The sequence below is a fragment of the Homo sapiens genome, chromosome X (assembly GCF_000001405.40).
Source record: "Homo sapiens chromosome X, GRCh38.p14 Primary Assembly".
NCBI lineage: Eukaryota > Metazoa > Chordata > Mammalia > Primates > Hominidae > Homo > Homo sapiens.
The window spans coordinates 114758141-114774189 of record NC_000023.11 but is presented as its reverse complement, the minus strand read 5'-3'; the positions used below and the strand labels follow the sequence as shown (position 1 = coordinate 114774189).

At 34.2% G+C, this 16049-nt stretch overlaps 1 protein-coding gene, 1 long non-coding RNA gene and 1 other non-coding gene across 5 annotated transcripts in view; 1 reads left to right on the top strand and 2 right to left on the bottom strand.

Moving 5' to 3' along the window:
• Positions 1-16049, bottom strand: part of HTR2C (5-hydroxytryptamine receptor 2C) — a 325976-nt gene that overhangs the window by 135872 nt on the left and 174055 nt on the right. The window lies entirely within an intron of this gene.
• The window catches only part of LOC105373313 (uncharacterized), a 96198-nt gene that overhangs the window by 39502 nt on the left and 40647 nt on the right, over positions 1-16049 (top strand). The gene's annotated exons all lie outside the window — the stretch shown is intronic.
• On the bottom strand, positions 10927-11006 carry MIR1911 (microRNA 1911). The gene has a single exon (NR_031732.1). It is a non-coding gene; the product is annotated as a microRNA 1911 (primary transcript).

Here is a 16049-nt window from a genome sequence, read left to right as displayed (position 1 = left end):
GCCTCCAACCAACACACACAAACACACATATGCATACACATAATTATATTATAAACTCCCTCATAAGCAGGGATTGGGACTAATATATTATGACATCCCACTGTGTTTTGTTCAGTGCTGACAAAGAGCAGATACTCAATAAGTGTCTTTATATTGATTGTGGTTTGACCCACGGGTTATAATAATTTAACAATGACTTTTGTTTTCTTTGATCTTTGTTAGAACATCTCTATCCTAGTGGCTTCTGGGTTCATAATAACTGCTTAAAGTGTTAAAGATGATGGAGTTTGGACACAGGGTGGGATGGGATGGGAAGCCTCTGTGTAAAATAAAGATTTTAATTTCATTTAGATATCTGTTTCAGAAGGGGTTTAGAAACCAAAGCTAAGTGCACAAAGTGAAAGGCATTTTGGAAATTATGTGGTTTATTTAATCAGTTTCTAAAGGAACTTGTTTAATTCTAGTTCCTGAATAGATTCTGTGGTTGCAGTTGTTTTATTTGCTGACTAAAATATGTAATACAAAAAATATGCAATTGTAATTTTTGGAATAAATGCATCATATTGTTCAGCATAAGTGATCTCCAAAATATCTGCTCAATATCCCAAAGTGCACTGACAAACAACTGTTATTCTTGATAAAAGGTATGATTCCATGGTATCTGAAAAATTGTCTGTTTGTAGATTATTTAAGAGTCTGTATTCTAATTTAACCAAGATTACTTTAAAATTTAACTTTTGGAAAACTGACGCATAAAATGTATTTGGCTATTCCAAATCACAATACGCTATTTTGCTTTAACTCCCATAGTTATTTTTTCATATAGTTTCACTTATGAAACTGGCTCTTACTACAAAAATGAAGTATACCTTGTTGCAGTAATATTGCTTTATTTTGAGATTTGAGTGGGAGGAAAGGGTAATATTTCTATCTTATTAATACTGTGTTTACCAGTTTTTAATTCTGATTTAAGATTCTTTCCATAAAACAAGTTATAATGGGAAAGGGGGAAAGAAGTTCTTGTGTACCTGATTTTCAGGGTGAGGAAAGCAAAAATGTTAAGCTCAGTTACTAAAAACAGTTTTTACTTATTGCATATACCTGCTTAAGAAAGGTCTTAGAAAAATCATACTTTGGAGACAAAATCAAGTTTAGAGACATCTAACCCAGTCCTCTCATTTCACAAATCAAAGGAGGCTCAAAGAAGCCATGTGGCTGAACCTGGATCACACAGTTACTGGAAAAGCTGGAAATTGAAGCTAGGACTTCAGTACTCTACCATCCCGTAGTTTTAACCAACTGAAGGAAAATGTAAAAATGCAGAATGGTGAAATAGTTCACAAGAAAGAGTAATCCACCAAGAGTCTGGCATCCCAAAGTAAATCCAAGTTACATTATTGATGATTTGCTTAATAATATTATATCCCTACCAACTCTCCTCATTGACCTTGTCCCTTTCTAAATTTATTCTTTTCCCAGTTTCAGCTTTTGCTTCATCTCTTGGGCCCTAGGCTAACCTGGAATTACTAGCCTTTGTTGGACAAGACATGAATAGGGCTGTTTCTTAAGCCAGAAAGTATAGTGATTTCCCTTGATCCCATAAACATGTACAAGTCTCCCCAACAATTGAAGTACTTCTTTGACTTTTTGTCTCCCTCTGAAAAATGTTTCCTCTCCTAAAGGTCAGAATCAAGGCCCCCCCACCACGCCCCGCCCCGCCACCACACATACACAAAAATCTAGTTTCATAAAAAACAAATGCAAAATGTGAACCTTGTTGGAAACCTAATTTAAATAAAGCAACTCATTTATATCCTAATTTGAGTCATTTGTTAAAAGTGAATACAGATTAGGTAGTAGATGATATGAAATAATCATTTTAACTTTATGCAGTAAAATCATTTTATGCTATTATGTTTAAAATGTCATTATAATTCAAGGTGTATAAAGAAGTACTTATGAGAACAGAACTTACAGAATGGCAACCTTGGTGAATTCTTTCTCTCACAAAAGCTATAAAAATACTTGCAAAACTACAAAAATCAACTGTTTTAGAATCTTGGAAATTAACCAAAGGTATAGATTTGGCTTAAAAGATATTCATTTAAAAACAGTCTACTGAACTTCAGTTAGAACAGTGGGATCTATGTTGTTTTCACTTGGGGCTACTTTCATTCCCCTCTCACCACAGTAACAGAGCACAGTAACCAGCCAGTTGAGTGGGGACTGATTTGTTTTGGAGCTTCATGTAAAGCCCCATCCTTAGAACACTTTCAATATTTCAACAATATTTACAATAATTCCTTTGAAACACATTATTCCCAGGTAATTGGGCTATTTGTCCTGACTCTGAGTTCAGTTCTTCAGAAAAAGCTTTATCTCCAGAGTTTTGAAAACAATAACATGAGCTGGATTTAATAACATTGCAGTTGCCTAAGCCTGTGAACTCAGTTGTAACAAACAAGAAGTTGGCTAAAAATGTAAAAGGAATACATCGGTAATGGCAAAAGGACCAACATAAGGGATTCTAAAATGCTCCAGCATATTTCAGGAAATCTAAAAGGCTGCACAAATGTGTATGTCTGTACACATGCCCAAGAAAACTCAGAGAGGACCAACAACTCATCTCTAGCTACCTTTGATGCTGGACTCGAGCAGGAAGTAAAAGCTAATATTGACTTGTAAATTCTCTGAAATTTGAAGGTGTGACCTCCCACAAAAATCTCCTTGGAACAGGGTAAAAGAAAAACTGGCTCATAGCATTTAACAGAATATTCTGAACAATCATTAGCTGACTACAAACAATGCTGATTCAGGGGCAACTCTTAAGAAGGATTAAAAATAAAAACAAATATCAAAGAAAAATGCTACCAGAGAAAATAGCAGCCACATATTGCAAGGAATACAGAATCTATAGAAGTATTCTAGGAAAGTAACTGAGGCAAGCAGCAATGAGGACAAAATCTCATAAACAACAATAAACACTAGAGGTTGGAGTAGATCTGATTTCAAAGTTACTACAATATATTATTTAAAATGTCCGAGTTTCAACAAGAAATTGTAAGACATACAAATAAACAGGGAAGTATGCCAGGCATGGTGGTTCACGCCTGTAATCCCAGCACTTTGGGAGGCCAATGTGGGTGGATCACTTGAGGTCAGGAGTTCGAGACCAGCCTGACCAACATGGTGAAACCTCGTCTCTATTAAAAATACAAACAATAGCCGGGTGTCGTGGCAGGCACTTGTAATCTCAGCTGCTCAGTAGGCTGAGGCATGACAATCACTTGAACCTGGGAGGCGGAGGTTGCAGTGAGCTGAGGTCATGCCACTGCACTCCAGCCTGGGCAACAGAATGAGACCCTACCTCAAAAAAAAAAAAAAAAGGAAGAAAGAAAGAAAAGAGAAAAGAAACAGGAAAGTATGGCATAAAGGCAGGAATTAAAGAAGTCAATAGAAAGTGTACAGAGGGGGCCTAGATGTTGGACTTATCAGACAAGGAGTTTAAATCAGCTATATAAATATGTTTAAAGAACTAAAGAAGACTATCTTTAAAGAATTAAAGAAAACTATGATGATAATGCTCACTAAATAGAGAAAATCAGTAAAGATATACAAATTAATTTAATATTTAAAAGAACAAAAATTCCGAAGTTGAAAAGTACAATAACTGAAATGGTAAATTCATTAGATAGGCTTAATAGAACATTTCAGGAGGCAGAAGAAAGAAACAATAAACTTGAAGATAAACTTGAAGATAAGTCAAAAGAGATTATCCCATCTGAAGAACAGAGAGAATAAAGGAAAATGAACAGAGCCTCAAAGGCCTGTGAGACACCATCAAATTATGCATAATGGGAGTCCAGAAGGATAGGTTAGAAAGATACAGAAAAGATATTTGAAAAAACAATGGCTGAAATTTTCCCAAATTTGATAGAAGACACTAATTTACACATCAAAAAGCTCAATGAACACCAATTAGGATAAACTCAGGGATACAAACCTAGATACTTCATAGTCAAATAGTTGAAAGGCAATGACAAAGAGCAAATTCTGGAAGAAGCAAGAGATAAATGACTCAATATATACAAAGGGACCCAAATAAGATTAACAGTTGACTTCATCAGAAGCTGTGAGAGCCAGAAAGCATTGGGATGACATATTTGAAGGGCTGATAGAAAAATACTGTCTACCAAGAATTCTATTTCCAGTAAAACTATTTCTTAAAAAAATGAAAGAGAAAGATGTTTCAAAATAAAAAAATAGATAGAAGTTGTAGTCAGCATACCTAACCTATATCTACCAAAGGGAATCTTTCAACTGAAATGAAAAGGTAGATGGTAACTTGAATCCACATGAATGAAAACTCTTTTCTCTTTCCAAATGGTTTAAAAGACAACTCCATGAAAAAAAACACAAAACTATTTTGATGCATTATAATGTATAAAAATGTAATTTGCATGACAATGATATCACAAAGAAGGGGGAAGAAATGGAAGTATATTGGAGCAATATGTCTACATACTATTGAAGTTTAATGTTAATCTTAACAAGATTGTTTCAAATTAAGATGCATATTATATATGGAGTGACTGAAAATGGGATAATGAAATTCTACTGTAATTAAATAAAGTTGATGGTTGCCTAACATTGTGAATATGCTAAAAATCACTGAATTGTACACTTTAAAGGGTGAATTTTATGGTATAAGATTTATATCTCAATTTTAAAAAGGAATAAAAATTAAAAGATGTATATTGTAAGCCCCAGAGCAAACACTAATACTATTTTTAAGTAAATAAAATAAAATAAAAACATAGTGAAAAAAATCCAAAAAGGAATTTAATGAATAATAATAACTACCTTTCCTAATTTTGTTATGCTTAACTGCTTGGCATCTAGCTGGAATCCAATATACTGTACCTATATGTATTATTAGCCTTATTTTTGTTATTGTTATTGTATTCATAGCATAAAATCATTTCCTCAAGGCCACAGCTTTGCTGTAGTAGTCATTGAATAAATAATAGCAATAGGTAAGAAAGTAAGGTGAGTCTAGGTTTAACTTTGCTGTTTCACTACTTTTTTATTTACAATTTTATTTTTCCTATTAACTATCACCTTTGTGTACTGTTAAATTAACTGCTTTTTTTTCAAATAGTTTTAACACATGTCTGAAAAAAACTGCAAGGGAACATGAGGTAAAGCTAGAAGTGTCATATGATGGCACTTGCAATCTCTTGTAAGATCTTTTGTTTACTTCAAAGTGTAAATTGGACAGCTCTTAATTACATTGTTAGAATAGTTTACACCAGAATTAAGTACAGTCTTAGATTCACTGCAGTTGCCATCTTTTGTTTAGTCATTTACATAAGTAATTAAATAGAGCTTACAAATTATGTGTAAACAATATTATGAGTCACTGAAAATGAAACTTTTAGTTGAATAACCCAGAGTAAAAGCCAATTGAGTAACTTGTCATAGTAATACACGCTAAAAAGTTTATTTATGAAACACTGGTCTTCAAAAATTGCCTTAATATTTTTCAATGAAATAAGTTTGGGGAAATGGTCATTTAATTTTCATATTCCACTTAAATAACAAGAAGCTTACCTTACTCCATTGTATTTAAACTGAGAAAATATATATTTATGTTATGTTATATTATATTACATTATATTTGAACCAATATACTACTTCTAGAACATTTGTTTTGGTACACGTGAAAATACATAATTTACATTTTTATATGCATAATATCTTTTTGTTTGTAAATAGGGGTTTGGTTTAATGTAATACTAAAAATAATGATAACCTTAAAATTGTATAGTAAGTTAAAATTTACTAAATATTTTCACATTCAGCTTTTAATATTCACAAATACCTGTGAAGCAGATGCTAAGTGAGATACTGTAGGTTAAAATACTTATCAAGATAGATGCACAGTAAAAGTCATTTATAAAAGAGAATCTAGTTTGTAGAGATAACCAGTGACTTACCAAAATCAAAATACTAATATAACATTACTTAAGAGTCATTTGATCAAAAAGACTTAGTTAAAAAAGAGTATTTCTTAGCCAGAATTAATGCTAAAGGCTATAAACTATCAAATTTAAATATGTATATGATTAACTTATCAATGTTTAGCTTTTATGTAATTTTCTATTGAGCAATTTCCTTTTTATTAGTAACCAAACAAATTATACTATAATGTTTAGTGGAAATAATTTGTCATCTTTATTTTTTACTCCAGTTGCCCTTCAACAGAACACTGAGGTTGATTACAACGGTTTATATGTGCCACTCACTGGTGAAATTCATGTATACACAGAGTTTGTAATCAGGTTTATGAGGAATTCAAAATTAGACACTTCATTTTCTTCCATCACAAGAAACACTTCAAACAACAGGGAATTTACTTTTCATTATATATTTCATTTATTTATTTTATATATATTTTAAATATATTTGATTTATATATATATTTCATTATATATATTTTATATACCTTCTATTTTGAATATATTTTCATACAAAATTAAATACATAAAAGTTAGCTTCAGCTATTAGTTTAATAGAACATATTCAGCTTTGTCCTTTGTACTTGCTCTTAAAATAGTAAATCCAGAAACTTTTTCCTCCCTATCAATATAAAGGAGATATTAAGCTAAGATGGGGTTAAAGTAAAATATGGGGTATAAGATAGGGTTAAAGTAAAATAGAAAATGAATAAGTGCTTAATGAATATCAAATGCCTCTAAATTAATTCCCCTTTAAAGTTTTGTTCTACAGAATTTTGAGGAGAAAATAGGTTTTTTCTTAGCCAGTGCAAGCTTTTGGGTTCCAAGAATGAATATGATCTAGAATAAGGAAACCTCTTGCTCTGCAGAAGACAGCCTGTTCTAATTATCCCATGTATACTCTAAGTACGAACTCAGAATACTCTTTCTGCTTTATTCTAAATAGGGCAAAAAACCACATTTGTCATGATCTTATCAATTACATAAAAAACAGCAATATAAAATCTTCAGTGGCTTGGCTAATTTGCAATTGTACATGCTCCCATAAAAACTCTTATATATCCCATAACATGTTACTACAGAATAAAAACAGAAATAAACAGGATGAAAATAAAAATTCTGTCTCCAATATCTGTGTTACTAAATATTTCTCAGTAAAAAGAACTCCATTAGAAAATCAATTTCATTCAAACTTGATTGTCTTGTTGATGCTCTTCCTTTAAAAGAAACAATGGCATTGGGTCATGGGAAAACTTAATTCATTAAGTTTACTTTGGGGACTTAATGTTATATGAGCATTGAGTAAGCAGCTTGTCTTTACTACATTTTGAATGCAGAATAACTAGATGGCAAAGATTTTAGATTTTTGATAGGTTTTATTTGAAATACAAAACAAACTTCAGCACACAAGGAATATGGAAATTTGACTAAAGAGGAAAAGAAAGAAACTAACTTTTAATGATTAGCCCAATGATCCTTTTACTACACAGTTCAAGCACTCTGTTAGGAGTACATACAGAAAAATGCGAACAATTAAGATCCATAGTTGTAATATATTCTATTCAGCATATGAAAGACAACTTTCAAGATAGAGTTACTGCCCTTTAAGATAAAAGCTAAGTAGGCTATTCTTATTCATCGCATAATGTTTAAGAGTGAGGATTATGGATATATAGTCCATTCATTCTAAGCAAGTTTTCTTTTATGTTCACTTAGATGGCAACAAGGATAAAATGTCTTCTGAGTATTAAAATAATGTATAATTAATGACTAGGTTTTTCATCTATGATCTCTTGCTGGGACTAACCAAACTGATTATAAAGATCATAGGAACATAAAAGCACATATGAAATTAACACTATTGTATGAAATAGAAGTTCTTATTTTCATCTCCCTATCATTGACAAAAGCACTAAACTTCTAACTTCATAATGATACTTTCAGATTTTGAGTAACTTGTTCAAAGTGGCATAACTAGGTATCTTAATTATAGAATCTTAAGACATAAAAGACAACCTCAAAAAAAATCTAGTTCAAGCTCTTATTCCAGGCACAAATTCTTTGCATAACCACTAGTGATGGCTGGTGGTGTCCTCTCTTTGAAAGACAGAGCTTTTATTGAACCCTAAGCTGATTCTTTCCGTATCTTTTACCATTTATCTTGCTTTTGTCTTTGGAAGCGTATGAGTATGAAAATCCTTCAAGTCTTTGAAGATATATCATGACCCCTCCCATTTCTCCTTAATTCCATTTCTAATTGCATGATAGCAGAGGCATTGCAATCTGGGCCTTCAAACTGTCTTAGGCAGGTGTTAATAGAGTCTGAACTGAACTGAAATAAAATTATTTTGAGTAAAGCTATAGTTCTAAAACAGTGTGTATCAGCTAGGACCATGTACAGTACTAATAAGTACACAATAACTATTAACTATTAGTATTATGGTAGGGCTTGGAGAAATTACCCTTAAATATACAAAAGACTATTTCCTTAGTTATGTTACTCTGTGTCTCTAGAGCCATATCAAGACATCAAGCAAGAATCAATATTTGTTGTTGTTGTTGTTGTTGTTTTTCAGGAACATAGTATGTTCAACATTTCCATGGGTTGGTGGCAGAAATAGCACTCTGGCTAGCTGGGAGAATGGGACCTTTAATACCAGTGATGTGAGGATGGATATTAGCCTTTTGTGGCCCTAAAATGAGGTAAAATTGTATACCTCAATTTCCCTCATCTGTAAAGTGGGAAAAATACTTATATGTTGGTTGTGTGGATTGAATAAGATAAATGGACAGAGTAAGTGTTCAATTAAAGTTAGCTATTATAGTACTTGTTATAATAGCTTCCTTCACCACCATCATTCAACCCAGTTAAAAGGCTCTTGGCATAGACATACAGGCTTTGAGGGAAAAGTTCATGAAGTAAGGACTGAGAACTTAGCTCTCTAGGAATTGGCACATTAGCAGACAATATAAAAATCACTGAAAGTTTCCAAGGCTGGGCATGGTGGCTCATGATTGTATTCTCAGCATTTTGTTAACCTGAGGTGGGTAGATTGTTGTAGCCCAGGAGTTCACAACTAGCCTGGGTAACACAGTGAAACTCTGTCAAAAGAAAGGAAAGAAAAAAAAAGAAAGAAAGAAAAAAGAAAGAAAGAAAGAGAGAGAGAAGGACGGAAGGGATGAATGGAGGGAAGGAAGAAAGGAAGGAAGAAAGATAGAAGGAAGGAAGGAAGGAAGGAAGGAAAAGAAAGAAAGAAAGAAAGAAAGAAAGAAAGAAAGAAAGAAAGAAAGAAAGAAAGAAAGATTGATTCCATGAAGGAGTGAGATTTAAGAAGAAAAAGGAAAATGAGGAGAATCTTCAAATCACCAGAACTGGACACTACAGAGGGAATTCTAATCTTTCTTGAGAAGACAGAGGATGTCTCCTCTTAAGGAAGAAAACGTAGGAGGTGCGTCCCATTGTTGGCAGTAGAATACTGATAGCATTTAAACTTTTGGTGCATTGTTTTCTTTATGTATTAAATAGGGATAGTACATGTATAATACTTGGAACAATGTCTGGCCCTGAGCAAAAACTCAAGTGTTGGCCGTTGTTATTTAGCTTTGACAGTGCTGCCTATCTGCCTGTAGTGAAATTATTTTTGCAACCAGAACTGGAATGTTAACTACAATTACATTATTTATTTATTTTGTGCATTTATTGGGGAATTAAACCAGTAATTAATATGTAAAAGTTGTACATTTCTTTTACTTTTTTTTTTTTTTTTTTGAGATGGAGTTTCACTCTTGTTGCCCTCAGGCTGGAGTGCAATGGTGCGATCTCGGCTCATCGCAACCTCCACCTCCTGGGTTCAAGAGATTCTCCTGCCTCAGCCTCCTGAGTAGCTGGGATTACAGGCATGCGCCACCACACCCAGCTAGTTTTGTACTTTTAGTAAAGACAGGGTTTCTTCATGTTGGTCAGGCTGGTCTCGAACTCCCAACCTCAGGTGATCTGCCCGCCTCGGCCTCCCAAAGGGTTGGGGTTACAGGCATGAGCCACCGCACCCAGCCAAAGTTGTACATTTCTAAGGAGGATAGAAGAGAGAAACAGCAAAGGATAACCAGAGGTAGAAGACTCTAGATATAAGAACAAAAATCAGGACCTCTGGACTGTATTCTTCCACATATGTCATTATAATTTAAATATACTGATACCATTATTCTTTTTGTATTTAGAATGGAAACTTACCCGGTAAAGAAATTTTTTTCTCTAGGATAAAGATCCCGCAGTGAAGTGATTAAGGATATTGTTAAAGGGAAAAGTGATATTGGGAGAAGACATTTCAAACCCAAAGTAATGATTCACAGGTGAAGATATGTGGGCCTGGGAATTTCCAAGAATATCACCTCATGAACTGATTTGCAAAGAGGAAGGAGGCCTTCATCTATCCATTAAAAAGAAAAAGACCAGATATAGGAGTAGATGCTAGGTATATACAAGTACACAAGGCTGACAAGTTACCTGCTAAGCTTTTCAGAGGGATGTTTTTTGGGTGAATGCCTGAGGACAGGAATTAAGGCATCAGTGTATAGACTCAAGATCAGCCCTGTGGAATATGTAAGCCCTGTGGATGATAACCATAAGTAACAAAGAAAGATAAAACAGAGATAGCTGTTTTACAGAGGGACTTTGTGAAGGGGACAGGGACAAGTATTGCTTTTTCAATGTTTAGATAACAAAATGTGCCACAGTTATAAAGGGGCATTTTCCTAATTTATGCAAGGAACACAGCTAAGTACAATGAATACTGACGCAAATGCAGCACACCTGGTATCTTGAGGGTTTGTAGATTTGGCAGCCCCGGGTGACAGCACTCTGGAGAAGTAACCAGCATTCTCATGGAAGGCACCGGTGGCGAAATGGCAAAGCGTCAGCGGAGACCACAATGCCTGGTGGGAGACTGTGGATGCCCAACAGACATGGCGGTACTCAGCAGATGCCGAGCAAATGATGATGGATACCCAGTGGCAGATGATGGATGCCCAGTGGGAGATGATGAATGCCAAATGGGAGATGATGGATGCCCAGTGGTAGATGATGAATGCCCAGCAGATACTATGAATGATGACGGGTGATGGTGGATACATGTGTGCTCCATGAAAGCCCAGAATAATTGCAGCAGTGCATGATGAAAATTGATTTGCTCATGATCACACGAGAGAACCACTGGTGACTTCTAGAAGTACTTAGGGGAAAATGAGTGTACTTTTTCTAGAGGGCTAGAGGACCTTTGTTAGCACAGGGGTGAATGTGGAGTATCAACATGAAAGCTATTTCTTCTGTGCTCACAGCTGTGATGCCCATCACAAATGTAAACACTTTTAGGGACCAGGTAGGTAATATCAGTGGGTAGGACAGCTGGGTATAAGAAGATGGGGAGTGGTAGAAAAGATAGCAAAGTTGGAACTCACTCTTAAAATGTATTCAAATGATAAAGTTTAAAAATTGTTGGCTAGGCCAAAACAAAATTTATCTGCAGGCAAAATTCAGCCAAAGAGCCACTATAACAATATGTTCCAATACCCTAGGGCTTAATATGCCATCTATCTAGGGATATGGTACCACCTTTATACACACAAGAAAATTGTTTCACTTTGAGAATGACCTCTAGTTATACAAATTTTGGAGGTATTAATATATATGAGAAGATTGTCTTCTGCTATTCATTAACCAATTCGAAGAAATCAGGGAGATTTTATTTATTGCATGTTTATTTTCATAAACTGTATATGTTTTGAGAACATTTAGGACAACTTGGACTCCAGTGAGTAACTTTTGATGGAATCCTTGAAAATCCCCAGGGATGACAGTGGAAAATATGATGGATCTACACTTTCTAGATCCATTCCCAAACCCTCTTTCCCAAATATAGTTCTGGTCTAGGTTTGACAATATCTATCTTTTACAAAAAGGCATAAATCTCTAGCAAAAGGGGGTTTGGATTTAAGGCATTCTTCAAAATAAATGAAGACAAAATTACAAAATCCAGAAAGATTTATAAGCATATATTCCATTTTAATGGAATAATTAAATTTCAAAGATAATTCACTGTCATGCATATATATCTAGAAAACCATGTATATATACACATATATGTGTACAAATAGTATATATACTATATATATGTGTATATATAGTATATATACACGTATATATACACATATATGTATATATACACGTATATATACACATATATGTATATATACACGTATATATACACATATATGTATATATACACATATATATATATATAGAGAGAGAGAGATAGAGAGTAATCTTTTGGGGGGAGGGTGCCTTATTTATCAGTTCTATGTTTTAATGTAGTTATTCATTAAAGGAGCATTCTAAGTGACATATAACATGAAGCAATGACTACAAACAAGGACTTTGGAGTTTTATAGGCCTGTGCTTAATAATCAGTTGTGTTACTGAAAAGTTCTAAGGTCTTGGACACATTACTTATCTCTTCTATACATTACTTTCCTTTATTTAAAATATGAAAAAATAGATAATACACATTTCTTTGAAAGGGTTTGGAAGAGTTAAATGAGTTAACGCATGTGAAATTTTTTGCAGAATGCCTGGGGTTATAGTATATTCTCAGTTAATGATAATTATTTTTAATGTAAAGATGAAATGGGTTGATTGTTGTCTAGGGCTTTACAAAGTTACTAGTCAACAATTTTAGTTCTCTCCCTTCCAGTTCTCAAATCCTTCCAAATTCCAATTAACATACTTAACCGGTTGGTTAGTTCCTTTTTACATAGATAATCTTATATTTTGATAAAAAACAACCCTTTTATAACTTCCACAGGAATTTTAGCTACCAGACTTATTTCTGATCCACAGGTTTTTTGACTCAGGTGAACAGAAAACCAAGCCTAATACATTTGCATTCTCAAGGGATTCAAATTATTTAGGTAGTTATTACTACTAGCCCTAACTTAGAAAGATAAGCAAAAAACTATAAAGAATTTTAAATATCTTAAAATTATATTGATGTTTACTTGCTTTAGTTCATTAAAATGGCTGTAATTACATTATGTAATTTGCAATTTCTGAAAGCACTTCCTCTAATTAAGAAAAAAAATGCTACTAAAATGGAGAATGCATTTCCATAACAAAGTAACCTAAAATCTACTTCTGGCACAGATGTTTGATTGCATGGGTTGCATGCTAGTAATGAAGTGAGAAACCTATGTCTCCCACATCCTCTGTATGTCTAGTTTGGTTGAAGTGTTGCAAATGAATTATAAATATGTTGTTGTCTGAAAAGAAATCATGGCTGTTAGAAAGAGGATGTGGGCCAGATGTGGTAACTCATGCCTGTAATTCCAGCAGTTTGGGAGGCCGAGGTGGGAGGATTGCTTGAGCCCAGGACTTAGAGACCAGCCTGGGCAACAGAGTGAGACCCTATCTCTACAAATAAATAATAAAAAAAAATTAGCAGAGCATGGTGTCACATGCCTGTTGTCCCAACTACTTGGGAGGCTGAGGCAGGAGGATAGCCTGAGCCCAGGAGGTCAAGGCAGCAGTGAGCTGTGATTGTGCCACCACACTCTAGCCTGGGTGACAGAGTAAGAATCTGTCTCAAAAAAGAAAAAAATAAAAGATGTGGGGTTGTGTATTTCCATTGTGGTAAATTAAATAACACATATGAAAGCATCATGAGTGCTCCATAGCAGATATTTTATGATAATGTCTAGATAGAGAATCAGAAGTTCAAGAATTGACTCCGTGTACTTGTAAAAATTAATCCAATTGCTTTGAAAAAGAAATTACTTTCATCTGGTAGCCTCAAATATTGGTAGGCAAAAATTACCCAAAAAGAAGGCTATAGAAACTTTCTGGAGGACCCTTCCTTTGTGGAACAACCATTTCAAAACCATATAGAAATGTATAATAATAATAATAAATTGTAGTTTAATCCTGCAAAGCTACATAGATGGGCAAGTATGTGACTTAAATAGTTAACATTTCTTTTTGCCTCTTGCTTTTTGCTTATTACTGGAAAGGATATTTTCCCAGTTGCTTCCCTCTCCTTACTCCGAATATATCTGTGTCTTATGAATGACTGCCAATTTCCAAAGTGAGGGTGCCATCCAGATCTTTGTTACTGTCTTGCCTCTACTTTTCCAGCTAGATAGTAAACTCCTTGAAGGCATGTCTGTTTTCTGTTCCTGCTGTATCATATCATTTAATATGGCACCTAATCTATGAATCTGAGTTGATGGTAATGTGGTGGGTTGAGTAGAGCCATGGAGTGGGAATAAAGTGGTAATTTCCAATGTTCAGTAAGTGTATGGGGAAGTTGTTACTCCACGAAGTGTGAGAAAGAGAGATCAGACCCTAGAGCAAGCAAGGTACCAGAGAGCATGGCTCCATTCCACTCATCAATGAGTTTGTACAAAGCACTTAAAATCCAAAAAAACAACTCAAGGAGTTGAGATTGACGAATTGGGGCCCCGTGGAAAGTTAAAGATGATGTAAATATTTGGAAACTTGGTAAAGAAAATTGAGGACAAGGATTATTTTAAACTTACAAGGTCTATATTTAGGTTACATTTTTAAGCCAAATTTTCATTTAATATTTTTATAGATGCAATTTATATGCCAAAGCAGTTAAGTTTTAAACATATAACCTTAATATTTATATATACTCGTGTTTTAATTTTAAATAAGCCTGGGGTAGATTGAGTCTAAACCTTACAATGTGTTACTAGCAGAGCGACCACAAAATTAGAAGGAATAAATGAAGATCTAGTAAACTAGGCAGCCTGATGTCTCCTCTGAGCACAAAGATACTCATGATAGTAAGTTACCAGACCAATCAAATGGAAGCTGCTGAAAAGGAGGATGGTTGAGATGGAAGATACACTTATTTTTCAAGGAGAGGAAAAGATAGGAATCAAGACAGCTGATCTGAAAAGTTTGACATGCAACTAGAGAAGCCCTAGGAATATAAAAGAGGAAATTTAATTTGAACTGTAGGCATGAGGAAGCTGTGAGCTGATTTGTTCCAATTTAGTCATGGTAAATATATGTAAACCTGAACATGAGTATTTTTTATTCCTACTATTGAAAAATGCAGGGTGTAATTTATGTGAAAATAAATTCTTTTTGTGCAAGAACATGGGAGAAAACTGCCACTGTTATGTAAATGATAAAAAATTGTAATCTGGGTTCTTTAATAGGGTTCTGTACACCTAAGGTTAAAATATCTGTATCAGGCAAAACAAAAGTGGGGGGATATATTTCAAAAAGAAGATTTAATAATTATTTTGCACATTGTGATGGAATTTTTAACATGGGGGAATAACTCCAAATGTCTGTGCCTGGATGTAATTCTTACCTCTGTATCAGTACTGATTTTGATTTAAATGTGTTCTTTTTTCACCATTGGTGATTTGCTTGTTAATGAAGCATTAATTTGTTTAGTAATATTTGTGCTTCTTCTGTTTTGTTTAGGGTGGCTGGCATAGAAGTCTTATATAACTTGAAAACCTCAGAAAAAACCATATATTTTTGAAAGGCCTAATAGATAACAAAACATCTTTTCTTTTTTAGAGACAGGTTCTCATTCTGTTGCCCAGGCTGGAGTGCAGTGGCATGATCATAGGTCACTGCAGCCTGAATTCCCAGGCTCAACCCATCCTCCCACCTCAGCCTCCTAAGTAGCTGGGACTACTGGCATGCCACTATGCTTGGCTATTTTTTTGGTTTTTTTTGTAGAGATAGAGGTCTAACTATGTTGCCCAGGCTGTTCCCAAATTTTGGTCTCAAATGGTTCTCCTGTCTCGGCCTCCCAAACCTCTGAGATTGCAGGCATGAGCCACCATGCCCAGCCAGATAACAAACACCTTTAAGTTTGACATTCATCATTATTGTAAACTTTTATTTCCTTTTAAGACTTAAATATTGGTGTTTAAAAATGAAAATAAACTGAAATGACATATTGTCTTTTCCAATGAACAAAATAAATGTGA